Source organism: Homo sapiens, chromosome 12, assembly GCF_000001405.40.
Source record: "Homo sapiens chromosome 12, GRCh38.p14 Primary Assembly".
In the NCBI taxonomy this organism is placed as follows: Eukaryota; Metazoa; Chordata; class Mammalia; order Primates; family Hominidae; genus Homo; species Homo sapiens.
In genome coordinates this window covers 56,516,250-56,543,954 of record NC_000012.12, presented here as the reverse complement: position 1 = coordinate 56,543,954, position 27,705 = coordinate 56,516,250, and the positions used below count along the sequence as shown (strand labels likewise).

General features: G+C 42.6%; 1 protein-coding gene across 12 annotated transcripts in view, besides 1 other annotated feature; it reads right to left on the bottom strand.

The window, feature by feature from the left end:
* Positions 1-23,550, bottom strand: part of RBMS2 (RNA binding motif single stranded interacting protein 2) — a 75,789-nt gene extending 52,239 nt beyond the window's left edge. For 10 of the 12 annotated variants that reach the window (NM_002898.4, NM_001414461.1, NM_001414459.1 and 7 more), the window contains exon 1: positions 21,866-22,135. In NM_002898.4, coding sequence (NP_002889.1) covers positions 21,866-21,931 — 66 coding nt within the window. In that variant the 5' untranslated portion in view covers positions 21,932-22,135. Of the gene's footprint in view, positions 1-1,566; positions 1,706-21,865; positions 22,136-23,137; positions 23,204-23,320 lie in introns of those variants that run through there. The other 2 variants (XM_024449115.2, XM_047429297.1) reach the window with 2 other exon arrangements.
* Positions 20,957-21,700: an enhancer, noted in NCBI's record as "H3K27ac hESC enhancer chr12:56916039-56916782 (GRCh37/hg19 assembly coordinates)". NCBI's record gives its function as "activates a minimal SCP1, AML or CMV promoter by ChIP-STARR-seq in primed H9 embryonic stem cells {active_cell/tissue: H9 hESC(primed)}" and the evidence as "EXISTENCE:reporter gene assay evidence [ECO:0000049][PMID:30033119]".
* Positions 23,551-27,705: the final 4,155 nt, after the last annotated feature.

The following is a 27,705-nucleotide window of genomic DNA, read 5'->3' as shown; positions in this document are numbered from 1 at the left end:
GGCTCACACCTATAATCCCAGCACTTTGGGAGGCTGAGGTGGGCGGATCACTTAAGGTCAGGAATTCGAGACCAGTCTAGCCAACATAGTGAAACCCCATCTCCACTAAAAATACAAAAATTAGCCAGGCGTGGTGGCGCACGCCTGTAATCCCAGCTATTTGAGAGTCTGAGGCAGGAGAATCACTTGAACCTGGGAGGTGGAGGTTGCAGTGAGCTGAGATCAAGATTGCACCACCGCACTCCAGCCTGGGGGACAGGGCAAGACTCCACCCCCGCCTCCAAAAAAAAGAGGTGACTCTAGGCCAGGTGTGGTGGCTCATGTCTGTAATCCCAGCACTTTGGGAGGCCGAGGCGGGTGGATCCTTGAGGTCAGGAGTTCCAGACCAGCCTGTACTCTACCCTGGGCCACAGAGCAAGACTATCTCAAAAAAAAAAAAAAAAGGTGACTCTCAGTACTTTTTTTTTTTTGAGACAGAGTCTTGCTCTGTTGCCCAGGCTGAAGAGTAATGGCATGATCCCAGCTCACAGCAATCTCTGCCTCCTGGATTCAAGTGATTCTCCTTCCTCAGCCTCCCAGGTAGCTGGGATTACAGGCGCCTGCCACCACGCCCAGCTAATTTTTTCGTATTTTTAGTAGCGATGAGGTTTCACCATGTTGGCCAGGCTGGTCTCGAACTCCTGACGTCAGGTGATCCACCCGCCTCGGCCTCCCAAAGTGTTGGGATTACAGGCGTGAGCCACTGCGCCCGGCCTTCATGGACAGTTTGAAATGAAGTATGGGGCTGGGTGTGGTGGCTCATGCCTGTAATCCCAACACTTAGAGAAACCAAGGCAGGAGAATCATTGAGGCCAGGAGTTTGAGACCAGCCTGGGAAACACAGTGAGATACTGTCTCTATATAAAATTTTTCAAAAAAGAAATTTGGAGGCTGAGACAGGAGAATTGCTTGAACCCAGGAGGCGGAGGTTGCAGTGAGCTAAGATTGTATCATTGCACCCCAGCCTGGGTGACAGAGTGAGACTTCATCTCAATAAATAAATAAATAAATAAATAAAAATAATAAAAAGAAATGAAATATGGGATGGTTAAAAAATAAATAAAGAGGCCAGGTATGGTGGCTCACGGCTATAATCCCAACACTTCGGGAGACAGAGATGGGAGGACTGCTTGAGCCCAGGAGTTTGAGACCATCCTGGGCAACACAGGGAGACCCTGCCTCTACAAAAAAATTTTAAAATTAGCCTAACATAGTGGTGTGCACCTATAGTCCTAGCTACTCAGGAGGCTGACCTGTGAGGATCACTTGAGCCGAGGAGGTTGAGGCTGCAGTGAGCCAAGATCGGGCCACTGCACTCCAGCCTAGGCAACACAGTGAAACCCTGAATAAAAAAAAAAAAAAAGAAAAACAAGAAAAAAAAAAAAGGAAACACAGGGACAGTCAATGGTTTTCGTTAACTATAAGCCCCATTTTTAAAAAAAAAAAACCCATACTTTAAATATGCTCAAATCAGTAGTCTAAAATGACACCAAAAAACAGGTAAAGGGATTTAGTTTACCATTTTACCTGAATCATCAAAAAGTCTACTAGAGCCAGGTGCGGTGGCTCATGCCTGTAATCACAGAATTTTGGGAGGCCAAGGTGGGAAGATCCCTTGAGCCCAGGAGTTTGACATCAGCCTGGGCAACATGGCGAAACTCTGTCTCTACAAAAAAAAAGAAAGAAAAATGCAAAAATTAGCTGGGCATGGTGGCATGTGCCCGTAAGTAGTCCCAGCTACTCTGGATGCTGAGGTGGGAGGATCACCTGAGTCCACAGAGGTTGAGGCTGTAGTGAGTGGTGATCATGCTACTGCACTCCACCAGGATGACAGTGAGACCCTGTCTCAAAAAAAATAAATCTACTAGATTTAAGCATTGATCTAATAAGTGAAAATGGAACCCAATCAAGAGAATCTTGTATCATCTTTTAAAATTTTTTATGTTTATTTTATTTTTTGACTCTTGCTTCTCTCTGGATTGTTATCATCTTAGGGAAAAACACTTATTCCCTACTCCAGATGTTTCTTTCAATGTAGACAGCCAAGCGTTTAGCATATCACCCCTCCCTTCTTAGTGACTAGAAGAAAAACACAGCTCCTTCTTTCCTATTTTGAGATCCAGCTAGCTGCAGAGAGTATACACTCAGCTTTGCTACTCTGAACTGGTCAAATTTTACATGGGTAAGTGCCCACACGAAGAAGTGCATAGGTTTTTGTTTGGTTTTTAAGTACTGCTTGTATTTAGGTGGATAAATCTGTCTAATTCTGGATTCAGTATTAGAACATCTACTAGCCCACAAATATAAGCTATCTTCTTGAATATTAGTTTTATTAGTAGTAAGTGTTACTTTATTTCTGTCAAACTTTTTCGTATTTCTCAACTGGATTGAAGTAAGAGGAGTGCTTCCAATTGAAACCCTCAAACCCCAACAATCTTTAAGAGCTATGCAAATATTATTTTTGGTAATTGAAATAGTGGGGTAAAGGTTAGAGTACAGCCCTACCAGTTTGCAAATCCTATTATTTGTAAAATAATAATTTAATAGTAATTCAATTTGAGTTAAAGTAAATCAATTTCATTCCTAATTAATGTCTTCATTTTACAAATGAGGGAAAATCAGATTCACTTTTTATATAACTAACTTAATTTTTCACTGTTCATTCAGCAACTGAATAGGCAAGGAATCAATGTTTACTCAATTTTTTAAAAAGTATTTTTCTTGACTATAAATCCCATTAACCAACAGAAAATGGTTAAAACACTGGCTCAAAAGTCGCAGAGACTTAGCGGTTTTGGGGTTTTTTTTTTTTTTTGAGTCAAGGTCTCACTCTGCTGCCCAGGCTGGAGTGTAGTGGCACAATCATGGTTCGCTGTAGCCCCAAATTCCTGGGCTCAAGTAATCTTCCCACCTCAGCCTCCCGAGTAGCTGCGACTACAGGTGCATGCTACCACACCTGGCTAATATTTGAGTTTTTTGTAGAGACTTAGTCTTGCCATGTTACCTAGTCTGGTCTTGAACTCTTGGGTTCAAGTGATCCTCCTGCCTTGACCTCCCAAAGTGCTGGGATTACAGGCATGAGCCACCAAGCCCAGCCAATATTTAGGTTTAATTCTACCATTGTCTTGTATTAGCTGTGTGACTTTGGATAAGTTGCTTGACCTCACCTATAAAATGGGGACAGTTAACAACACCTATGAAATAGGACTGTTGTGGGGATTAAAATAAATGCAGGTAGCCAGGTGTGGTTATTCTTGCCTATAATCCCAGCTACTCTGAAGACTGAGGTGGGAGGATCACTTGAAGCCAGGAGTTCGAGATCAGTCTGGGCAACATAGTGAGACCTTGTCTCTATAAAAAACAGTTTTTTAAAAATCAGCTGGGTGTGTTAGTGTACACCTGTAGTCCCGGCTACATGGAAGGCTAAGGCAGGAGGATCACCTGAGCTCAGGTGTTTGAGGCTGCAGTGAGCTATGATCACACCACTCCACTCCAGCCTGGGACAGAAAGTGAGATCCCCTTTTGCAATAAATAAATAAATATATACATATATGTAAATACAAATAAATACATAAATACATACATACATACATGTAAAACTCTTATCATGCTGCCTGAAACATAAAAGGAGCTGACATCTATTCATTCAATAAATATTCAATGCCCACTTTAGAGTACTAGGTACTACGTTAGGTACCAAGGACAAAATGCTTAGCTAAACCAGACATGGCTCTGGCCCTAATAAAATTTTCAGGAGTATTTAGTGGGGAGAGAGACATTAATCAAATAATCATAAAATAATTTAATAATTACCCACTGTGATAAATGGGCTACCAAAAAAAAGACAAAAAGAAGGCTGTGGCCTATTTTCATTAGACTAGTCAGAAAGATGACATTTAAGTATGAAAGACTTCAAGGATGAGAAGAAACTAGCCATTCGGAGAATGAAAGAGATCATTCCAGAAAGAGGGAGCACACGGTTAAAAGCTATAAGGTGGGACTTTGGAAGGAATAGAAGGCCAGTGAAGCTGGAATGTAATGAAGCATCCGGCCTCTCAGTTTTTAGAAGGTTTATGTGAGTTAAATTTTATAAAGGGCTTAGAACAGTAACTGGTATGCTCAGGAGGCTGAGGGAGGAGAATCACTTGAACCTGGGAGGCAGAGGTTGCAGTGAGCCGAGATCACGCCATTGCACTCCAGTCTGGGCAACAAGAGCGAACGAAACTCCATCTCAAAAAAAATAAAAGAACAGTAACTGGTATGTAAAAATACTGTCTATTATATAAAATAAAACTAAGAAAACAAGGTAATTATTAACTCCAGGGAAAACAAAAATTGAACAAAGGAACTATTATCATAGCATATTATATAGCTTAGCTAGAAATAATACTTATAAAATCATAATAATATAAATACTGAATACTGGTTTAACTAAAAATCATGACACAACTTATACACAGAAGGTGGGAAGAAAGGGGAAGCTGGAACATAAGGGCACGGGGTTTAAGAGAAATAAATCTTTACCCTCTATAACAGAAAGGCAATATCTGATTTGCTGAATCAATACACAAACATAGACTTATAGAATTGCTGAATTCTGGCTGGGCGCAGTGGCTCACGCCTGTAATCCTAGTACTTTGGGAGGCTGAGGTGGGTGAATCACTTGAGTTCAGGAGTTCCAGACCAGCCTGGCCAACATGGTGAAACCTCATCTCTACTAAAAATACAAAAAGTTAGCTGGGCGTGGTGGTGTGCACGTGTAATCCCAGCTACTTGCGTGGCTGAGGCAGGAGAATTGTTTGAACCTGGGAGGCGGAGGTTGCAGTAAGCCGAGATTGCGCCACCGCACTCCAGCCTGGGCACCAGAGCAAGACTCTGTCTCAAAAAAAAAAAAAAAAAAGAATTTCTGAATTTTATATAACTAACAACGAATGATTTGAAAAGGAAATTAAAACTGTTCCATTTCTAATAGCACCAAAAATAATAATATGCTTAAGAATAAGGTTAACCAAGGAGGCAAAAGACTTGTACAGTGAAAGCCAAAAACATTACTAAAAGAAATTGCAGAAGACACAAATATATGGAAAGACACTCCATGCTCATGGATTGGAAGCATTAACATTGTTAAGATATCAGGGCCAGGTGCGGTGGCTCACGCCTGTAATCCCAGCACTTTGGGAGGCCAAGGCGGGTGGATCACGAGGTCAGGAGTTCAAGACCAGCCTGGCCAAGATGGTGAAACCGTATCTCTACTAAAAATACAAAAATTAGCCGGGCTTGGTGGCAGGCGCCTGTAATCCCAGCTACTCAGGAGGCTGAAGCAGAGAATTGCTTGTACCCGGGAGGCGGAGGTTGCAGTAAGCTGAGATCACTGCACTCCAGCCTGGGTGACAGAGTGAGACAGCCTGAGACTCCGTCTCAGAAAAAAAAAAAAAAAAAAAAAAAAAAAGATATCAGTACTACTCAAAGCAATCTGCAGATTCAGTGTAATCCATATCAAAATCCCAAAAATGGGCTAGGTGTAGTGGCTCATGCCTGTAATCTGCAGATTCAATGTAATCCCTATCAAAATCCCAAAGATGGGCCGGGTGTGGTGGCTCATGCCTGTAATTCCAGGCACTTTGGGAGACTGAGGTGGGTGGATCACATGAGGCCAGGAGTTCGACACCAGCCTGGCCAACATGGCAAAACCCCATCTCTACTAAAAATACAAAAATTAGCTGGGCATGGTGGTGCACGTCTGTAATCCCAGCTACCCGGGAGGCTGAGGCAGGAGAGTCACTTGAACCCAAGAGGTGGAGGTTGCAATGAGCCGAGATCATGCCATTGCACTCCAGCCTGGGCAAAAAGAGCAAAACTCTGTCTCAAATAAATAAATAAATAAATAAATAAAATAAAATAAGCAAAGGACTTGAATAGACTTATCTCCAAAGAAGATTTACAAATGACATTTCACAAATGTGAAAAGACGTTCAACATCACTAATCATTAGAGAAACAGAAATCAAAACCATGGGATACCACCTCACACCCATCAGGATGGCTACTTATAAAAAAAAAAAAAAAAAGGCAGAAAACAACAAGTGTTGGTAAGGATGCAGAGAAATTGGAACCCTTGTGCAGTGTTGAAAACAGGACAGTGGTTCCTGAAAAAGTTAAAAATAGACTTGCCATATGATGTAGCAATTCCACTTCTGGGTATATACCCAAAAGAATTGAAAGCAGTGTCTCAAAGGGACACTTGAATGTATTTGTACACTCAAGTTCATAGCAACATTATTCACAACAGCCAAAAGGCAGAAGCAACCCAAGTATCCATCAATGGGAAAATGAATAAACAAATATGTGCTATATGTTGTACATACAATGAAACATTATTCAGGGTGAAAGGCAAGGAAACACTGACACAAGCTACAACATAGGTGAACCACGAGGACATTACACCAAGTGAAATAAGACAGTCACAAAAATATTGTATGATTCCACTTACATAAGGTACATAGGATAGTCAAATTCATCGAGACAGAAAGTAGAACAGTGGTTGCCAGAGGCTGGAGGGAGAGGAGAATGTGGAGTTGTTTAATGGGTATAGAGTTTCAGTTTTGTAAGATGAAAAGAATTCTGGAGATGGGTTGCACAACAATGTAAATGCACTTAATGCTACTAAACTGTATACTAAAATGTTCAAGATGAGCCAGGCAAGGTGGGCGCCTCACGCCTGTAATCCCAGCACTTTGGGAGGCTGAGGTGAGTGGACTGCTTGAGGTCAGGAGTTCAAGGCCAGCCTGACCAACCTGGTGAAAACTCGTCTCTACTAAAAATACAAAAATTAGCCAGGTGTGATGGCAGGTGCCCGTAATCCCAGCTACTTGGGAGGCTGTGGCAGGAGAATCACTTGAACCTGGGAGGCGGAGGTTGCAGTGAGCCAAGATCATGCCACTGCACTCCAGCCTGCACAACAGAGCAAGACTCCGTCTCAAAAAAAAAAAAAAAAGTTCAAGATGGTAAATTTTATGTTATGTATATTTGTCACAATTAAAAATAAAAATAGGCCAGGTGCAGTGGCTCATGCCTGTAAACTCAGCACTTTGGGAGGCCAAGGGGGGCAGATCATGAGGTCAGGAGTTCAAGACCAGCCTGGCCAGCATGGTGAAACCCCGTCTCCACTGAAAATACAAAAAATTAGCCAGGCATGGTGGCAAACGCCTGTAGTCCCAGCTACTAGGAAGGCTGAGGCAGGATAATTGCTTGAACCCACCAGGTGGAGGTTGCAGTGAGCCAAGATCACGCCACTGCACTCCAGCCTGGGAGACAGAGTGAGACTCCATCTCAAACAAACAAACAAAAAAAAAAAAGAAAGAAGGAGAGAAGGAGAGAAAGAGAGAAAAGAAAGAAGGAAGGAAGGAAGGAAGGAAGGAAAAGATCTTACTAAGAAAAAGAGTAGGAGGTAAGGAAACAGAGACTCTATATGGACTACTCTTTCAAGAAGCTCAGGCCAGGCATGGTGGCTCATGCTTGTGATCCCAGCACTTTGGGAGGCTGAGGTGGGAGGATTACTTGAGTCCAGGAGTTCAAGAACAGCCTGGGTAACATGGTGAAACCCTATCACTACAAAAATACAAAAATTAGCCGGGCAGAACTCCTGACCTCAGGTACTCTGCCTGCCTCGCCCTTCCAGAGTGCTGGGATTTTTTTTTTTTTTTTTTTTTTTTTTTTGAGACAGAGTTTCACTCTTGTCACCCAGGCTGGAGTGCAATGGCGTGATCTCAGCTCACTGCAAAATCCACCTCCCAGGTTCAAGTGATTCTCCTGTTTCAGCCTCCCGAGTAGCTGGGATTACGGTGTGCGCCACCACGCCCAGCTAATTTTTGTATTTTTAATAGAGACAGGGTTTCGCCATGTTGGCTAGGCTAGCCTCAAACTTCTGACCTCAGGTGATCCACCCACCTGCCTTGGCCTCCCAAAGTGCTAGGATTACAGGTGTTAGCCACCACACCAGGACAATCGTTAACCTTAATGATCATTTACTATGTGCCAGGCATTCATTACTAACAGCTCAATAAAGTAGATACTAGTAGTATGCCATTAGATATGGAGTTATGGGGGGAAAAGAAGGTCAAGGATAATATTAAGGTTTTTGGTCTGAGCATATGGAAGAATGAAGTTGCCATTTACTGAGACAGAGAACAGTTTTGGCAGGGCAGGGAGGAGAAGAGCAGGCAGGAGCTCTGTTTAAATATGTTAAGTTTGAAATGTCTAATAAATGTCTAAATGGAGGTGTCAGGTGTAATGTTAAATATATAAATCTAAAATACAGGAGGGCAGTCCAAGTTGAGAGTTCCAGTCCAAGTTGAGAGTTCCGTCATACGGGTGCTATTCAAAGCTATGAGACTGGATATAAATTTTTTTTTTTTTTTTTTTTGAGATGGAGTCTCCCTCTGTCACCCAGGCTGGAGTGCAGTGGCACAATCTCAGCTCACTGCAACCTCTGCCTCCTGGGTTCAAGTGATCCTTCCACCTCAGCCTCCCGAGTAGCTGGGACCACAGGCATGCACCACCACGCCTGGCTAATTTTTGCATTTTTGGTAGAGACAGGGTTTCACCATGTTGCCCCAGCTGGTCTCAAACTCCTGAGCTCAAGCAATCTGCTCACCTCAGCCTCCCAAAGTGCTGAGGTTACAGGCATGAGCTACTGCACCCGTCCAAGACCTGGATAAAACTATGAAGAGAGAAGTATAGACAGAAAAGAGGCTCAAGGACTGAGTCCTGGGGTACTCCAAGGTTTAGAGGTCAGGAAAATGAGGAGAAACCAGGAAAGGAACCAGAAAAAGAGAGGCCATAGAAATAAGAAGAAAACCAGGAGAGTGTGGCATTCCATAAGTCAAATGAAGAAAGTTTCTCAAGGAATAGAGTGATCAATTGTATCAAGTGTTGTCGATAGGTTAAGATGAAAGTTAAGAAATAAACATTTACTGGGGCTGGGCGCCGTGTCTCACGCCTGTAATCCCAGCACTTTAGGAGGCTGAGGCGGGCGGATCACGAGGTCAGGAGATCGAGACCATCCTGGCTAACACAGTGAAAATCTGTGTCTACTAAAAATACAAAAAATTAGCCGGGCATGGTGGCGGGCGCCTGTAGTCCCTGCTATTCGGGAGGCTGAGGCAGGAGAATGACGTGAAGCTGGGAGGCGGAGGTTGCAGTGAGCCGAGAACGTGCCACTGCACTCCAGCCTGGGCGACAGAGCGAGCCTCCATCATAAAAAATAAATAAATAAATAAACATTTACTTAATAACATGAGTCACTGCAGACTTTCAAAAAAGCAGTTTTGGTGGAGTGGTAGGAATAAAAGCCTAATTAGTTTGCTTTAAGAGGGAATGAGAGAAGTCTGACATTATCAAAAAATGGAAAGGATGTAAATCTATGACAAATTTTATACATTGTTGATGGAAACAGATTTGGTACAATACTTTGGAAATAAATTTAGCATTATCTCCCAAAGTGGAATATTCGCATACCTGATGGCTCAGCAATCCCACTCTTAGGTAGAAACCCAAGAGAAACTCTAGCACAAGGATACTATATACAGAAGAATGTTCAGAACAGCAATTTCAAAAACAGCAAAAATGAACAAACACAATCTAGAAACAATCCAAAAATCCCTTGGTAGGAGAATGGATAAATTACAGTATATTCACAAATGAAATATTGTAAAGCATGAAAAAATGGATAAACCACATCTATATGCAACATGAATGAATCGTGAAAACACAAAACTGAAGGTAAAAAAACAAAAACAAAAACAGAAGACTATGTGCTGCAATAAGACACTACAGCAGTGGTTGCAAGCACAGATTTGGAACTAGATTACCCGGGTTCAAATCCCAGTTGGGCCATTCACTAGCAGTATGATTTTCAAACTCTCTGTAACTCACTTTTCCTCATCTATAAGATGGGAATAATAATAATGAAGTTGTAAGGATTAAATAAGATAAAATATAGTTATATAACTATATATTATATAGATATAATTATATACAGTTATACAAAGTACTTAGAACAGTGCAAACAAGTTAATTAAACATGATTTTAAAACTATGTTTTTTGGGAAAGACTTTCAGTCCAAAATGGCAGTATAGAAGTAAACTGGCTTCACTTTCTTCCACAGAAAACTAAAACTATGTTTTTAAAAAGTAACAGGGCTGCTGGGCGCAGTGGCTCATGCTTGTAATCCCAGCACTTTGGGAGGCCAAGGTGGGCGAATCACTTGAAGTCAGGAGTTCGAGACCAACCTGGTCAACATGGTGAAACCCTGTCTCTACTAAAAACACAAAAATAAGCCAGGTGTAGTGGCATGCGCCTATAGTCCCACCTACTCAGAAGGCTGAGACATGAGAATTGCCTGAACCCGGGAGGTGGAAGATGCAGTGAGTTGAGATCACGCCACTACACTCCAGCCTGGGTGACAGAGGAAGATCCCGTCTCAAAAAAAAAAAAAAAAAAAAAAAAAGTAATAGGGCTGGGTGCCGCGGCTCACACCTATAATCCCAGCACTTTGGGAGGCCAAGGCAGGAGGATCGCTTGAGGTCAGGAGTTCGAGACCATCTTGGGCAACATAGCGAGTCCCTGTGTCTACAAAAAAATTTTAAAATTAGCCAGGTGTGGTGGTGAGTGCCTATAGTCCTACCTACTTGGGAAGCTGAGGCAGGAGGATCACAGGAGCCCAGGAGTTCCAGGCTGCACTGAGCTACGATCATGCCACTGCACTCCACTCTGGATGACAGAGTGAGACCCTGTCTCCACAAAAAATTTAAAAATTAGCTGGGCATGGTGACGCACATCTGTAATCCTAGCTACTCAGGAGGCTGAGGTGGGAGGATTGCTTGAGCCAGGGAGGTCGAGGCTGCAGTGAGCCACGATCGAGCCACTGCACTCCAGCCCGAGTGACAAAGTGAGACCCAGTCTCAAAAAATAAAATAAAATAAAATAAAATAAAAAGCAAGAGAGTAATAAATACAGAATTTAGGACAGTGGTTAGCTCTAGAAGAGGTGCAGAGGATGAGATGGAGAAATTCATGTGTACGTAATTTACAGGCAATGAATCTAGTCTAGTACTTGAGAGTACCTCTTACAGGTGTTCCTCTATTATTACACTTTATAACTACATGTAAACTTTTGTATTATCTGACAATATATTCAAGATAATAAAAGAAAAAAGAATGGAAGGAAATAAATTGGAGACAGCAAGTATATATGATTCTTGAATAGATAGCTCTTTCAAGATGTTTTACTGTAAAGGGAAGAAGAGAAATGAAACAATGGCTAGAAGAAGAAGAAAAAGTTTTTTTTTAATTTAATTATTTTTCTTTTTTTTTTGAGACAGAGTTTCGCTCTTGTTGCCCAGGCTGGAGTGCAATGGCACAATCTTTGCTCACTGCAACCTCCATCTCCCAGGTTCAAGCAATTCTCCTGCCTCAGCCTCTCTAGTATCTGGGATTACAGGCATGCGCCACCATGCCTGGCTAATTTTGTATTTTTAGTAGAGACGGAGTTTCACCATGTTGGTCAGGCTGGTTTCAAACTCCTGACCTCCGGTGATCTGCCTGCCTCGGCCTCCCAAAGTGCTGGGATTACAGGTGTGAGCCACCGCACCTGGCCAATTTTTTTTTCTTTTTTATACTCCATAGGTTCACAATTTTTAGACAGAATTTCATTCTTGTAGCCCAGGCTGGAGTACAACGGCACGATCTTGGCTCACTGCAACCTCTACCTCCTGGGTTCAAGCGATTCTCCTGGCTCAGCCTCCCAATTAGCTGGGATTACAAGCATGCATCACCATGCCCAGCTAATTTTATATTTTTTAATAGAGACAGGGTTACCACGTTGGCCAGACTGGTCTCGAACTCCTGACCTCAGGTGATCTGCCCACCTCGGCCTCCCAAAGTGCTGGAATTACAAGCGTTGAGCCACAGTGCCCGGCCCACAATGTTTTTTTTAAATAAGAGAAAAACAGCCAATATACAGGCTGATATGTGATTATAAACATTACCAATCCTCAAAATAATTCGACAAAATATATCAGTACTTTTTTTTTTTTTTTTTGAAATGGAATCTCGCACTGTCGCCTGGGCTGGAGTCCAGTGGCAGATCTCGGCTCACTGCAGCCTCTGTCTCCCAGGTTCCTCGCCTCAGCCTTCCAAGTAGCTGGGATTACAGGTGCCCACCACCACGCCCAGCTAATTTTTTTGTATTTTTAGTAGGGACTGGGTTTCACTATGTTGGCCAGGCTGGTCTCGAACTCCTGACCTCTGATCCGCCCGCCTCAGCCTCCCAAAGTGCTGGGATTACAGGCATGAGCCACCGCGCTGGGCCAATATATCAGTACTTTAAGATGAAAAATTCAAGGTCAGAAAGCCTAAGACACCTGGCGCTGGTCACACAGCTAATATGTGACAAAGCCACATTTAAATTCAGATCAATCAATAAATAATTACTTAAAAATAAATTCAGATCTATCTAACTCCGTATTTCAGGGTTTGTATAGAACATAATGCTTCCTTCCTTTGCTTAACCTTGATTTAGTGCCTACCATAGGCACTAAATGTGATAGCTTAATCACATTTATTAGGATATATATTTTTTGAGTATCTACTAGATAGGCCTAAGATGCTATATTAGGTATTTGGGGAGATAATAAACTGAATAACACTGTCTCTACCTTAAAGAGCTTACACTCTAGCAATGAAGATAAGACAATTACCTAAATGATTCCAATACAATGCAAAATTATATAAACACCATATAAGAAGCATAAAACATTATGGGGGTTCAGAAAAAAGTCCCCTTTGGAAAAAACAGTCCCCTCTGGGGCTGGGAAATGGAGGGATTAGCAGAAGCTTTATATAAGAGGTAATTTTCAACTGAACTTAAAGGGATGGGTAGGATTTTTAAAGACAGTTTTGACTGTGAGTTCTTAAAGGGCCACAGTCATGCCTTAACCCCAGGGCCTAGCATGCTGCAGCTGCTCAATAAACCTAAGTAATATGAGTGAAGTAAACAAATGAAACGAAAGGCCATTCCGGAATTAAGCAACAACAACAAAAAGGATCAGAGGCTGAATGCATAAGGCACAAGAACGACAAAAAGATCAGAGTTGGAGGGACGTGAATATGCATATTTTGAGAATAAGTACCAAGTAACTGGTCATGATTCTCTTTACATTTGTCTCCTACATCTCCCATCTTTAAGAAAATTATCTCAGCCAGGTGCAGTATCTCATGCCTGAAATCCCAGCACTTTAGGAGGCTGAGGTGGGAGAATCACTTGAGCCCAGGAGTTTGAGACCAGCCAGGGCAATATAGTGGGACCCCATCTGTACAAAAATTTAAAAATTAGCCAAGTGTGATGGCGTGAGCCAGTAGTCCCAGCTACTCGGGAGGCCAAGGTAGGAGAATCGCTTGAGCCCAGGAGGTTGAGGCTACAGTGAACCATGATTGCACCACTGTGTTCCAGCCTGGGCAACAGAGCAAAACCCTGCCTCAAAAAAAAAAAAAAAAAAAAAAAAAAAAGGAAAAAGAAAATTCTCTCTTGACAGCACCGCTATCCTCTTCTAGCTTTTATCTCATTTCTCTGGTCCCTTTTTTTAAAATAACAACTCTACTGAGACATAATTCACATACCATACACGTCACCCATTTAAGTATAAATTCAGGACTAGGCACAGTGGCTCACGCCTGTAATCCCAGCACTCTGGGAGGCCAAGGCAGGAGGATCGCTTGAGCCCAGGGGTTTGAGACAAGCCTGAGCAACATAGCAAAAGCCTGTCTCTATAAAAAAAATTTTTTTTAATTAGCTGGGCATGTGGCGCTGTAATCCCAGCTACTTGGGAGGCTGTGGCAGGAGGATCCCTTGAGCTCAGGAGTTTGAGGCTTTAGTAAGCTATGATTGTGCCAATGCACTCCAGCCTGGGCAACAGAGTGAGACCCTGTCTCTAAATAAAGAAAGCATAAATTCAATGGTACTTAGATCACAGAGTTGTGCAACCATAACCACAATTTTAGAACATTTCATTATCCCAAAAAGAAACACAATACCCATTACCAGTCACTCCCTATTTCTCCACTAAGCCCTAGGCAACCACTAATCGACTTTCTGTCTCTATAGATTTCCGTATTCTGGGCATTTCCCATAAATGGAATCATACAACATGTAGTCTCTTATGACTGGCTTCTTTCATGAGCGTCATGTTTTTAAGGTTCATCCACATTTAGCATGTATCAGTATTCCATCCTTTTTTCTTTTTTTTTTCCCCTAGAGATTTGTTTTGTTGTTGTTGTTGTTATTGTTGTTGTTGTTGTTGTTGGGACAGAGTCTTGCTCTGTTGCACAAGCTGGAGTACAGTGGTGTGATCCACTGCAGTCTCCACCTCCCAGCCTCAAGCAATCCTACCACCTCAGCCTTCCGAGTAGCTGGGGCTACAGGTGTGTTGCACACCAGCACGCCTGGCTAATTTTTGTACTTTTTGTAGAGATGGGGTTTTGCTTTTGCCATGTTGCCCAGGCTGGTCTAGAGCTCCTGGGCTCCAGCAATCCACCTGCCTCGGGCTCCCAAAGTGCTGGGATTACAGGCATGAGAAACCACACTCAGCCTAGTACCCCATTCCTTATTATTGTTGAATAATATTTCATTGTATGGGCATACCATGTATTTTATTTATCCATTCATCAGTTGATGGACATTTGGGTTGTTTCCACTCTGGACTATTATGAATAATGCTCCTATGAACATTTATGTACAGGTCTTTGTGTAACATATGTTTCCATTTCTCTTGGGCATATATCTAGGAGTGGAATTCCTGGGTCTTTCCTTAACCTTTTGAGAACCTGCCAAGATGTTTTCCAAAGCAGCTGTACCATTTTACATTCCCACCAGAAGTGTATAAAGGTTCCAGTTACTCCACATATATTATGTCTCTCTTTCTTTCTTTCTTTTTTGATACAGAGTCTTGCTCTGTCACCCAGAATGAAGACAGTGGGGCAATCAACCGCAGCCTTGACCTCCTGGGCTCAAGCAATCCTCCCACCTCAGCCTTCCAAGTATGAATAGCTAGGACTACAGGTGTATGCCACCACACCCAGCTAATTTTTGTATTTTTGTAGAGATGGGGTTTCACCATGTTGCCCCGGGCTGGTCTCTAACTCCTGGGCAACACGGTGCCGAGGAGATATTTGTCCTTTCGATTATCTTTTTGATTATTGACTGTCTTTTTTATTATCTGTCTTTTTCATTATAAACAGCCTACTGGGTGTGAAGTGGTATCTCATTGTGGCTTTATTTTATATTTCCTTGATGGCTAATGATGTTAAGCATCTTGCCATAGAGCCTGTGGATAAACATCGATTCAGATGTTTTGCCTACTTTCTATTTGGGTTCTGCTCTACATCTTAATCAATGTTCTTAAGAGATTAGTGTATATATACCATCTATACTTCCTTACTTGTTTTCACTCATCAACCTATTCCAACCTTGATTTTGCTCCCCATACCTCTGAAATTGCTTGTCAAAGTCATCAACCACCTTTACACTAACAAATTCAAAGACTATTCTTCAATCCTCATCTTCCAGCATTATAATTTTATGATTTGCACACTTGACTTTTTTTTTTTTTTTGATACATGGTCTCGCTCAGTTGCCCAGGCTGCAATGCAGTGGCATGATCATGGCTCACTGTAGCCTCGACCTCTACCAGCTCAGGTGATCCTCCCACCTCAGGCTCCTGAGCAGCTGGAACGACAGGCACACACCACCATATGTGGCTAATTTTTGTATCTTTTGTAGAGACAGGGTTTTGCCATGTTGTCCGGGCTGGTCTGGAACTCCTAGGTCAAGTGATCCTCCCACTTTGGCCTCCCAAAGTGCTGGAATTACAGGCATGAGCCACTGTGCCTGGCCATACTTGCCTTTTAATTCCAACTGACTTCTTAGTCCAGTTGATATTTTCCTTTGTCCTGTTTCTGTTCTGTATTTTTTGTTATATTGCATATTGCATATTCTCCTATGGAATAAGAAATGTAAACCAGCAACCAAAGGGCATATCCAGAAAACTGCATTAACGTAACTGGCCAGTAGAGCAAATGTAACAGTATCAAGGGGGCATGGTGGGGGGGTGGCGGGGGATGGGGAAGATAAGGAAAGGCCAGACAGATAGTAGGTGTTGGGCTAGAGATTTGCACTTTGTTCAGCAGGTAATATATAGCCATTAAAGTTTTTTTTTTGTTTTTGTTTTTGTTTGTTTTTGTTTTTTTGAGATGGAGTCTCGCTGTTGTCGGCCCCGGGCTGAAGTGCAATGGCGCGATCTCGGCTCACTGCAACCTCTGCCTCCCAGGTTCCAGCAATTCTCCTGCCTCAGCCTCCCAAGTAACTGAGATTACTGGTGCCTGCCACCATGCCTGGCTAATTTTTGTATATTTAGTAGAGACAGGGTTTCATCCTGTTGGCCAGTCTGGTCTCAAACTCCTGACCTCAGGTGATCCACTCACCTTGGCCTCCCAAAGTGCTGGGATTACAGGCGTGAGCCACTGCGCCCGGCCTACCACTAAACTTTAACCATTTGAGTTAACTTATTACTGATAACAGAACAGCTGCCCCAGTCAAGAGATGTTAGACCGACAAGTTCTTAATTCTCAGTCCTATTACATTTGATTTGATGGAAACTAGAAGGAAAAGTAGTAAACATACACAGAGAAAATTCTCTATCCTGTTAGAAGTACTAAGTGAATCCAGCACTGTTTGTCACTTCTCTCTCCTGAGTAAACACTCATGACAATCTCAGGTAACAAGCTTCTCAAAGAATGAGGATCTGGCAGTACCCACCAGTCAGCCTTACTTTCATCACCTCCTACTCCCCATCAGTCTTCAATATATTAACATTGAGAAGAAATAGAAATGTATGAAAAGTACGTTGGAGAAGGCAAATTATCCTAAGTTAAACACAGTCCCTTTTCTTTTTTTCCAAAGGAAATGGTTGTTGATCCTATGAGGAGTTAAATTATAATAACACATGCCAGAGAGATGATGTCAAGAAAGGCGTGGTTAGGCCCTTTACAAGTTTGAAATTCCTTTAGTCCCAAACATTTCCTCTTTCGATCTCACCTATACTCAAATCTCTCTACTTTGGCAACTTCTTCAAACATTGAAGAAACAGTGTTGAGACCCTGTCTCTTTTTACTTCAGCCTTTTTTTTTTTTTTTTAATGAACCAAGTTACTGAAGGGCATTAAAACTGATGTTTAAAAAAAAAAAAACACAAAATTATCTTGCAGAATCCCTCTTTGAAATCCACATTTTTCCCCTTCAGTAACTATTTTAATTCCAAAGAAAGGAAAAAAAAATTTAACACTACTTCCTGAGAAAAAAGTCCGCCTTTATTAGGCATTATACATTTGTTGACGGCATTCCCATATTTACCACCAGCCAATAAAGAGTAAGAAAACTATGACTGTCATGGGCTCCTCAGGAAACATCTTTCCTGATAAGTGAAGTATGTATTTCAAAATAAAATAATCCTACCTTTTATGTTTTATTTTATTTTATTTTATTTATTTATTTATTTTTGAGATGGAGTCTCACTCTGTTGCCCAGGCTGCAGTGCAGTGGCACAATCTCGGCTCACTGCAACATCCACCTCCTGGGTTCAAGTGATTCTCCTGCCTCAGCCTTCTGAGTAGCTGGGACTACAGGCGTGCACCACCATACCCGGCTAATTTTTGTATTTTCAGTATTGACGGGGTTTCACCATGTTGGCCAGGCTGGTCTCAAACTCCTGACCTTGAGCCATCTGCCCACTTCCACCTCCCAAAGAGCTGGGATTACAGGCGTGAGCACCAAAGTTAAATTTTTACAATAACTTTCATTAGTTTCAGTAAGAAACAGTAACTTTTATATAAAAGTTATATATAGGTAGGGCGTGGTGGCTCACGCCTGTAATCCTAGCACTTTGGGAGGCCGAGGTGGGCAGGTCACTTGAGGTCAGGAGTTCGAGAACAGCCTGGCCGACATGGTGAAACGCCATCTCTACCAAAAATATAAAAAATTAGCCAGGCGTGGTGGTGGGCCTCTGTAATCCCAGCTACTCAGGAGGCTGAGGCAGAAGAATCACTTGAACCCAGGAGTCGGAGGTTGCAGTGAGCTGAGATCGCCCCACTGCACTCCAGCCTGGGTGACAGAGCGAGACTCTGTCTCGAAAACAAACAACAAAAAAGTTATATATAAAAGTTGGCTGAGGTGGGAGGCTCGCTTAAGCCCAGGGGTTGGAGATTGTAGTGAGCCGAGATCATGGCACTGTCCTCCAGCCCAGACTGCAGAGTGATACCCTGTCTCAAAATAAATAAATAAATAAATGGGCCAGACAGTGGCTCACGCCTGTAATCCCAGCACGTTGGGAACCCGAGGCAGGCAGATTGCTTGAGGCCAGGAGTTCAAGACCAGCCTGGGCAACATGGCAAAACCTCGTCTCTACTAAAATTAGAAAATTTAGCTGGGCCTGGTGGCGCACACCTGTAGTCCCAGCTACCCAGGAGGTTGAGGCGGGAGAATCGCTTGAACCCAGGAGACTGAGGTTGCAGGGAGCCAGGATCGCGCCACTGGACTCCAGCCTGGGTGACAGGGTAAGACTCTGTCTCAAAATAAATAAATAAACAAATAAATAAAATTTAACTGAGTATGGAAAATACACAAATTACATAAGCAAATGCATCTACAACCCTTTCCAAAACAGAAACACAGTAAGCCCTACTTGACAAGACAAAGAGCAACGTAATAATGCTATAGTTTAAAAACACCCTCCCTGGTCATCTAGTGTTGAGGAAAAAAATTAAGTAAAATAAAAATAAAAATATGGGGCCAGGCGCAGTGGCTCATGCCTGTAATCCCAGCACTTTGGGAGGCCGAGGCAGGCAGATTACCTGAGGTCAGGAGTTCAAGACCAGCCTGACCAACATGATGAAACCCCGTCTCTACTAAAAATACAAAAAAATTAGCTGGGCGTGGTGGCGGGCACCTGTAATCCCAACTAGTCAGAAAGCTGAGGCAGGAGAATCACTTGAACCCAGGAGGCGGAGGTTGCAGTGAGCCGAAATCACGCCACTGCATTCCAGCCTGGGCGCGACAGAGCAAGACTCCATCTCAAATAAATAAATAAAAATATGGGCCAGGCTTGGTGACTCAAAGTATAATCTCAGCACTTTGGGAGTCCAAGGCAGGGCAGATCACTTGAGGTCAGGAGTTTGAGACCAGCCTGGCCAACATGGTGAAACCCCGTCTCTACTAAGAACACAAAAAAATTGTCCGGGTGTGGTGGCACTCCTGTAGTTCCAGCTACTTGTGAGGCTGAGGCAGAATTGCTTGAACCTGGGAGGCGGAGGCTGCAGTGAGCTGAGATCACACCACTGCACTCCAGCCTGGGTGACAGAGCGAGACTCCATCTCAAAAAAAAAAAAAGTAAAAATAAAAATATGAAAACCCTCCACGTTCACAAACTTATATAGGCACAAAAGGAGTCATATGCATGGCCACAGAGTGATGCACAGATACAGCATCCTTACATCTGATCATAACATTGACTTATAAGAACCCAAAGAATTGACAAATACATTAGTAATTAGTAATTATGTATCTACCTATCCTCCCCAACCAATTCCAACAATTCCTGAATTGTCAAACCTTACTAAGAGATTTCAACCCAAACCCACAACCATACCTCTTGTCCCCTATACTATCCTAGATTTAGAAGCTAATTAACTTTTTCCTATACTCCAAGGTGGGAGAGGGAGCAGAGAGCAAAAAGAGATTTTTAGATAGCTTCAAATACGTGAAACCTCTAATAGGGAAGCAATTCATTTTGGGAATTCATTTTATTTTAATGAGTTCTGGGTAACCTGAGAGAACTAGGAGGGAAAAAAATCAGGAAAGAAATTTTCACATGGTACTCTACAAGGTTTGAAAAGAATAAAGACATGTGAAATATTTCCCTTTCAAATATATACGTATAATATATAATGTATTATCTATACATATATTTGATAAAGGGATGTCAGTATATGTACATATAAACATATATTGATAACCAACAAATGTGTATAAACTCATATTTCATTTCTTTTTGAGATGGAGTCTTGCTCTGTCACCCAGGCTGGAGTGCAGTGGCACAATCCTGGCTCATTGCAACCTCTGTCCCCCAGGTTCAAGTGATTCTCCTGCTTCAGCCTCCTGAGTAGCTGGGATTACAGGCGCGTGCCACCAAGCCCAGCTAATTTGGGGTTTCACCATGTTGACCAGGCTGGTCTCGAACTCCTGACCTCAAGTGATCCACCCACCTTGGCCTCCCAAGTGCTGGGATTACAGGCATAAGCCACCATGCCCAGCCTCATTTCTTTTTTAAAGTAAATTTTATTGTGTATATTTAAGGTATACAACATGTTACGGGATACATATAGATAGTAGAAAGGTTACTATAGTGAAGTAAATTAATCATCCCACATAATTGTCCCTTTTGTTTCTTTTTGTGGCAAGAGGAGCTAAAGTCTGCTCATTTAGCATGAATCCCATATACAGTACAACTTTATCATCTATAGTCCTCATGTTGTACATTGGATCTCAGGATTTGTTCATCCTACATATCTACTACTTTGTATCCTCTGACCTATAGCTCCCCATTTCCTCTCCCCTCTACCCATATTTCTTCAGGATATAAACAAAATGAGTACCACACAGACTAAGCCCATAAATCAACATTAAGTGTTTTGGGTCTAAACATTTACCCACTGCATTGATCAGACACTTGTGTTTAAATCCACCTCTAATGGTCTCATTAGGTACATGAGAAAGCAGCAGGAATCGTTCCTCACCCTCCAACATTCCATTAGATGAGCAAAAGATTCCCTAAATGTCTATGTCACATTTTTTCTTCAAAGAACAGCTACAACACAAAGAGAGGGTAAAGAGTCTTCTTCCTGCTACAGCATGAAATTCCTCCTAATCAGTATGCTGTGCGCCCTGAAATGCCAGAAACTGCCAAATATATTCCTTGTCAAATATGGACAAGATTGTCCATCTCTCCCCATGTGCCCAAGGACAGCACAATTCTCTGGCAGCCATGGGTTAATCATAAAGACTCCTAGGATCACTGCAAAGTCTGGCTATCTGCAGAGGTCCAAGTATCAGTTCAAATACAAGATCCAAAGTATCACAGCGCTCTGTGCCTTAATCCCAAGGTGCGATGTCTCTCAAGACTCCTTCTCTATAGGCTGGGTGGGGTAGGATCTGTAGTCTAGAAGAGTATACCCAGCTCTTGATAAACTGTTGTGGTTTCTCTGACTATCTATGATTTCAGCTATCTAATACTACTGGTGGTATGGGTAGGAGGGAAGGTTGGGGAGAGAATGGAAACAGTTAATCAAAAAATAAAATAATCTTGTGGGGTGGGGTGGACTGGGGGACAGGGTCTGAAATGACATATTATCCTTGTGGAGATTGATACATCAGCAGGAAGTCAAACTAACTTCATTTCATAAGGATACAAACTTGCAAGCTTGATTTGTTTTTAATTCCCCTGTCTTTTCAGGCCTCGCAGAGACTGAAAGTTCCCTGAACTCCAGAACCAGTTGAGGAAAGATGCAGAAAGCAGTAGTGGAAAAGGGAGAAGCGCGGTGAGGAATTAGGAATCTTGAGAGAGGAAGCCCCTTCCCCTCTTTAAAAAGAATGTAAAAACCAAGGGCATTGCAAGATCCCCAGAAAAAGAAGTAGCTAGATACCAAAAAAGCGCTTTTCCCTACCTTCTTGTTGTTTCTATTGTAGCCAAAAGTCGAAATCCCGGGCCTGGAAGTCACGGATAGCAGCATTTTCTCTTTAATGTTAGGGAACGAGCGAGAGAGAGAGAGAGAGAGAAAGGGAGGGGGTAAGAAAGACGGGGAGGGAGGGAGGAGGGGAGCGAGGGAAAGGGGGAGAGGGAGGGAGGAAAAAAGGGAGGGGGAGGAGAAAGGAGGAGAAAAGGAGCAGGAGGAGAGAGATGAAGGGGGGCTGCGGGCAGAGAATGAGCTCGGGCTGCTCCTTTACGTCACTGAGAGAAGTTAACAGAGTCTGAATGAGGCAGAGGCACTTCCACTGGGTCCTAATGCCCAAGATGTTTTTTTTTGTTTGTTTTTCATAGTCTCAGGAGTTAAAGCTAGAAAGAAGAGTTCTTAGGTCTAACCCCTTTCAAATTTATCCCCTTTCCTCTATGAACAAGTTCCGATTCTCATATAAAGACAATGAGGGCTTTATTTCCACCCTTAGATCTCAGCTATAAGATTTCAAGCTTGATTTTAAAGGGGCTCCTGAGACATTGCCTTGGAGAACACGCAAAAAAAAAAAAAAAAAAAAACAGAGTTAGAGTGTGTGAGATAAGCTCAGGGCTTCCCCTACTTTACACTTACAGTGATTTTTTTTTTTTTTTTTTGAGACAGAGTTTTAGTCTGTCACCCAGGCTGAAGTGCAGTGGTGCAATCCCGGATCCGGCTCACTGCAACCTCCACCTTCCGCAATTCTCCTGCCTCAGCCTCTCGAGTAGCTGGGATTACAGGTGACCACCACCACACCCAGCTGATTTTTGTATTTTTTAGTAGGGACGGGGTTTCGCCATCTTGGCCAGGCTGGTCTCGAACTCCTGACCTCAAGTGATCCACCCACTCAACCTCCCAAAGTGCTGGGATTACAGGCATGAGCCACCACCCCTGGCCCATTTATAGTGATCTTAATGTACAAAGGAACAAACAGAGGAACACACCAAAGAGCAGAGCTAAGCAAAACAGAGTATGGGGTATAACTAGTTTCAGATCCTTAGATGTGTTTCTCTTGGGTCATACCAATGGGCTGATGCCCCTCACTCCTATTTCAGATTCTCCGAGGAATGAGTTCATACTTAAGAAGGAATTATCAGACTGGACTATATCATGAAACTTGGTGCCTTGTTATTTCTCTAACAATTGCAGGCTATCTTATTTAACACTTTACCCTGCTATTTCCTCATCTTTAAGATCCATGAAACTGAAACAATTACAGTAACTCACCAAACCTGGAGTTTATGTCTAAATTGAAGTCTACAGTTGGGATGTCTGCTTTGAGTTGTCTTTGAGCTGTTTAAAAAAAAAAAATACTTAAGAAGCATATGCTTCAACAGAATAAAAACACAAAATTCTTAGGAAGGAATACAAATTTCAGAGTCAAGAACCTAATAGAGTTGCAACACTTACCTCTACTAGTTTCCAAAGAATGTCTTTGTAGGCGTAACCTTAACAAGAAAGGAAACCAAAAACTTAAGAATGATATCCAGTAACCCCTACCAATCCAAGTGCAATAGGGATGTTAAATGAAAGCCTTCAAATCCCTTCATAAGGCCACCTTGCTGCCATCCTAAGTAGTTTCTTGAGATATAAATTAACCCTGTCTGTTTTGTGACAACAAATATTAAGCCCAAACCCTCCCTCAAATGAAGTTCTGGTCTCTATTCTAGTTTCCGTGTCACTTTTTTGCTATGATAATGGAACAGACAGTATTAGTATTCTGCAGAGTAAATATACATACCCTACCCCCAATCTCTAACTTTCATTTCCAATAGGACAGGAAGTGCCTGCTCAGCTCAGGGGACACAGGAAGGGTGGGAGAGCCTCAGTGTGGGAATTGCAACTGAGACTGGAAACACAGCAGCCAAATGCAGTAAATAAATAAATGAAGGCATCACTCAGTGATATCTTTTTTTTTTTCTGAGACAGAGTCTTGCTCTGTTGCCCAGGCTAGAGTGCAGTGGTGCTATCTTGGCTCACCGCAACCTCTGCGTCCCGGGTTCAAGCGATTCTCCTGCCTCAGCCTCCCGAGTAGCTGAGACTATAGGCATGCGCCACCATGCCCGGCTAATTTTTTTGTATTTTTAGTAGTCTTGTTGGCCAGACTGGTCTCAAACTCCCGACCTCAGGTGATCTGCCCGCCTTGGCCTCCCAAAGTGCTGGGATTACAGGAGTGAGCCACCGCGCCCGGCCCATATATATATATATATATATTTTTTTAAGTCCTTTTTCTGCTCTCAGAGACTCTCATTAACCAATTTATCCTTGCTGTTTAGGCCCTTGGATGATATCTTCTCCTTTACCCTAACAATGTGGTACAGAAACCTTTCTCTTGAAGGCCTGATTCATAAAGGCAATCAACCCAATTTAACTTTTTTTTTAAGTCTAATTTTTCTTTCTACTTTTTTTTTTTCCCCCTGAGACAGAGTCTCACTCTGTCGCCAGGCTGGAGTGCAGTGGTGCAATCTTGGCTCACTGAAACCTCTGCCTCCCGGGTTCAAACGATTCTCCCGCCTTAGCCTCCTGAGTAGCTGGTACTACAGGCATGTGCCACGACGCCCAGCTAATTTTTGTATTTTTAGTGGAGACGGGGTTTCACCATGTTGGCCAGTCTGGTCTCGAACTCCTGACCTCAGGCAATCCACCCGCCTTGGCCTCCCAAAGTGCTGGGATTACAGGTGTGAACCACGGCACCCGACCGAAAAATCTAAATTTTTATAATCTGGTAAATTAGGACCACAGAAGTAAAATGACCCGGATATGCAAACTGATGCCAAAGGTGTATTATGTTAAAGAGCACCAACAAAACTGGAAACTAAATCCTTCATTCTGGTGAGTATATGTATTATAAACATATATTTTTTTTTATGACAGGGTCTCACTCTGTCACCTAGGCTGGAGTGCAGTAGCACAATCACGGCTCACAACAGGCAGCTTTGACTTCCCCAGGTTCAGGTGATCCTCACACCCATCCCACCCCTCCCCACCCTGTAGCTGGGACTACAGGCATGCACCACCACACCTGGCTAACTTTTGTAATTTTTTTTTTTTTGGTAGAGACGGGGTTTCATCATGTTGCCCAGGCTGGTCTTGAATTCCTCAGCTCAAGCAATTTGCCCACCTCAGTCTCCAAAACTGCTGGCATTACAGGTGAGTATATTTGTAAAGGAGTTATGGAATTCTGTGGAAATGATGGGGAAGGTAATGGTGTTCTGTGGTTAGATTCAGGAAGTATACGGGAGGAGGAAGAATCCTACTTCCTCCAGTGTATTTACTTTGACGCCCTTCTGCTTTGCCCATTACATTGCCCACATTTTTCCAGATTTAGTCAATGCCTCTCTAATTCTTGGTTCTCATGAACCCAGCACTCAGGAATTGTTTTGAAGGGAAAAAAGCAAAATGAGAGTTATCTGTAACTTCTTTGGGGAAGAGACATTTGTACCTGATTCAATATAGGCTTGTTTGTGATTTCTCCAGAAAAACAACTCTTTTAAACAAGTGTCCAAGGTGAAGGAGTAGGGGCTAGGTCAACCCCAAAATGTAGCTGAAAAATGTCCCAGCACTTTGGGAGGCTGAGGTGGGCAGATTGCTTCAGTCCAGGAGTTCAAGACCAATGTGGGCAACATGGCAAAACCCCATTTCTGCTAAAAATACAAAAAACTAGCCAGGCATGGTAGTGCATATCTGTAGTCCCAACTCCTCAGGAGGCTGAGTTGGGAGAGCCATCTGAGCCTGGGAGGTCGAGGCTGCAGTGAGCTGAGATGGCGCCACTGTACTCCAGCCCAGGCAACCAAAGTGAGATCCTGTCTCAAAATAAAAGAAAAAGAAAAATAAAGAAAAATGTTTGCATGCCTCTATTGGCCCCTCCATATCAGAGTGGAGAATTCAGAAGAATGTATTACCTGTAGATGTGCTGGACCCTAGCCAGACATTCCAATGGAGACAGGCTGGTGTGGTATATGTGGTTGAAAGCAATGAGACAGGTCAGTTTGCGTGTGAGGCTCTGATTGTGGCTAAGAGACCTGAACAAGGTATATTAGAGCCAAAGAAACATTTTTCCCTAGGTATAAATACTCCCTGTGGATTATCTTCTCATTCCACTGATTAACTTTTGTGTCCAAAAGGCTATGTAATGGAAATAGTCCAAAAAGTTGAGTTTATTGGCCAGGTGCGGTGGCTCATGCCTGTAATCCTGGCACTTTGGGAGGCCGAGGTGGGCGGATCACTTGAGGTGAGGAGTTCGAGACCAGCCTAGTCAACATAGTGAAACCCTGTCTCTACTAAAAATACAAAAATTAGCCAGGCGTGGTGGCACACGCCTGTAATCCCAGCTACTTGGGAGACTGAGGCAGGAGAATCGCTTGAACCTGGGAGGCAGAGGTTGCAGTGAGCTGAGATCATGCCACTGCACTCCAGCCTGGGCAACAGAGTGAGACTCTGTCTCAAAAAAAAAAAAAGCTGAGTTTATTTCCTGGTAAAAAAGATGAGATTATGTCTTAGGGAAAAGTAAAAAACAAAACAAAACAAACAAACAAACAAAAACAGTTTATTGAACATACCAGTTTCCTTAGGCAAGAAATGTTAATGAGCTACATCAAACAATAAAGCAAAGCTTAGCCGTGACCCCTTCTGATGTAGGATGGAATGACAAAATTGGTCTAAAACAAAAAATTGGAAAAGTTTGTCTTTTTACCTCTTTGACTTACCTTACTGGCAAACAAGGAAAAAGACAGCTCTGAAGAATTATTTCTTTCACACCTGGATATCAGTGCTAACAGGCCTCTTCTCCTATAGCAACAGATATTCCTGGACAAACATTGCTTCAGAGAATATTCTAATAAAATTGTCAAATGGACTTTTCCTTTGCCGGACGCTGAAGGAATACAGGAACCAAATCATTTAGAATCACTGGGCTAGAAAATTAGCATATTGTAGAAAGAAAAGACTAGAATGAATTCTATGTAACCCAGAATATACTACATTGATTTTATGGTGGTATTCATTGTATTCTCTTTTTATTTTTATTTTATCACCTACCAGAAAGATATATTCTCTAAATGTGTGTTTCCTTCACACCTGAGGCATTAGTTTTGCTTGGCCTTGGCCTCATCTATCCCTAAAATAAACAACTCAGATGATCCCAATAGGGCCCACAACTGATTCAACAATTAGGCTGAATCAAATGAAACTGCTGTCTCCATAGGTCAAATCTTAATCTTTTCATATCATTGAATACTAGCAATTTCATATGGTTAAATCTAAATATTGCAAGAAGTATGAGACTGCGGGGATGATAATGAGCCAAAACAGTAATTAATTGGATAGTTCCTTCCCCTTGTCCTCTCTCATTTTCAGATTAAAAAAACAAATCCCAGAGAGGCAAGCTCACTTACACAAGGTCATAGGGGTCAAATAGTAGCATAAGTGACACCAGAATCCAGATTTCTTCTTCTTCTTTTGTTTTTTTTTTTTTCTTTTTTTGAGATGGAGTCTCACTCTGTTGCCCAGGCTGGAGTGCAATGGTGTGATCTCAGCTCACTGCAACCTCCGCCTCCCGGGTTCAAGCAATTCCCCTGCCTCAGCCTCTGGAGCAGCTGGGATTACAGGCACATGTCACCATGCCTGGCTAATTTTTGTGTTTTTAGTAGAGACGGGGTTTCACCATGTTGGCCAGGCTGGTCTCAAACTCCTAACCTCAGGTGATCTGCCCTCCTCGGCCTCCCAAAGTGTTGGGATTATAGCTGTGAGCCACTGCTCCTGGCCAGAATTCAGATTTCTTGACTCAATTCTATCCT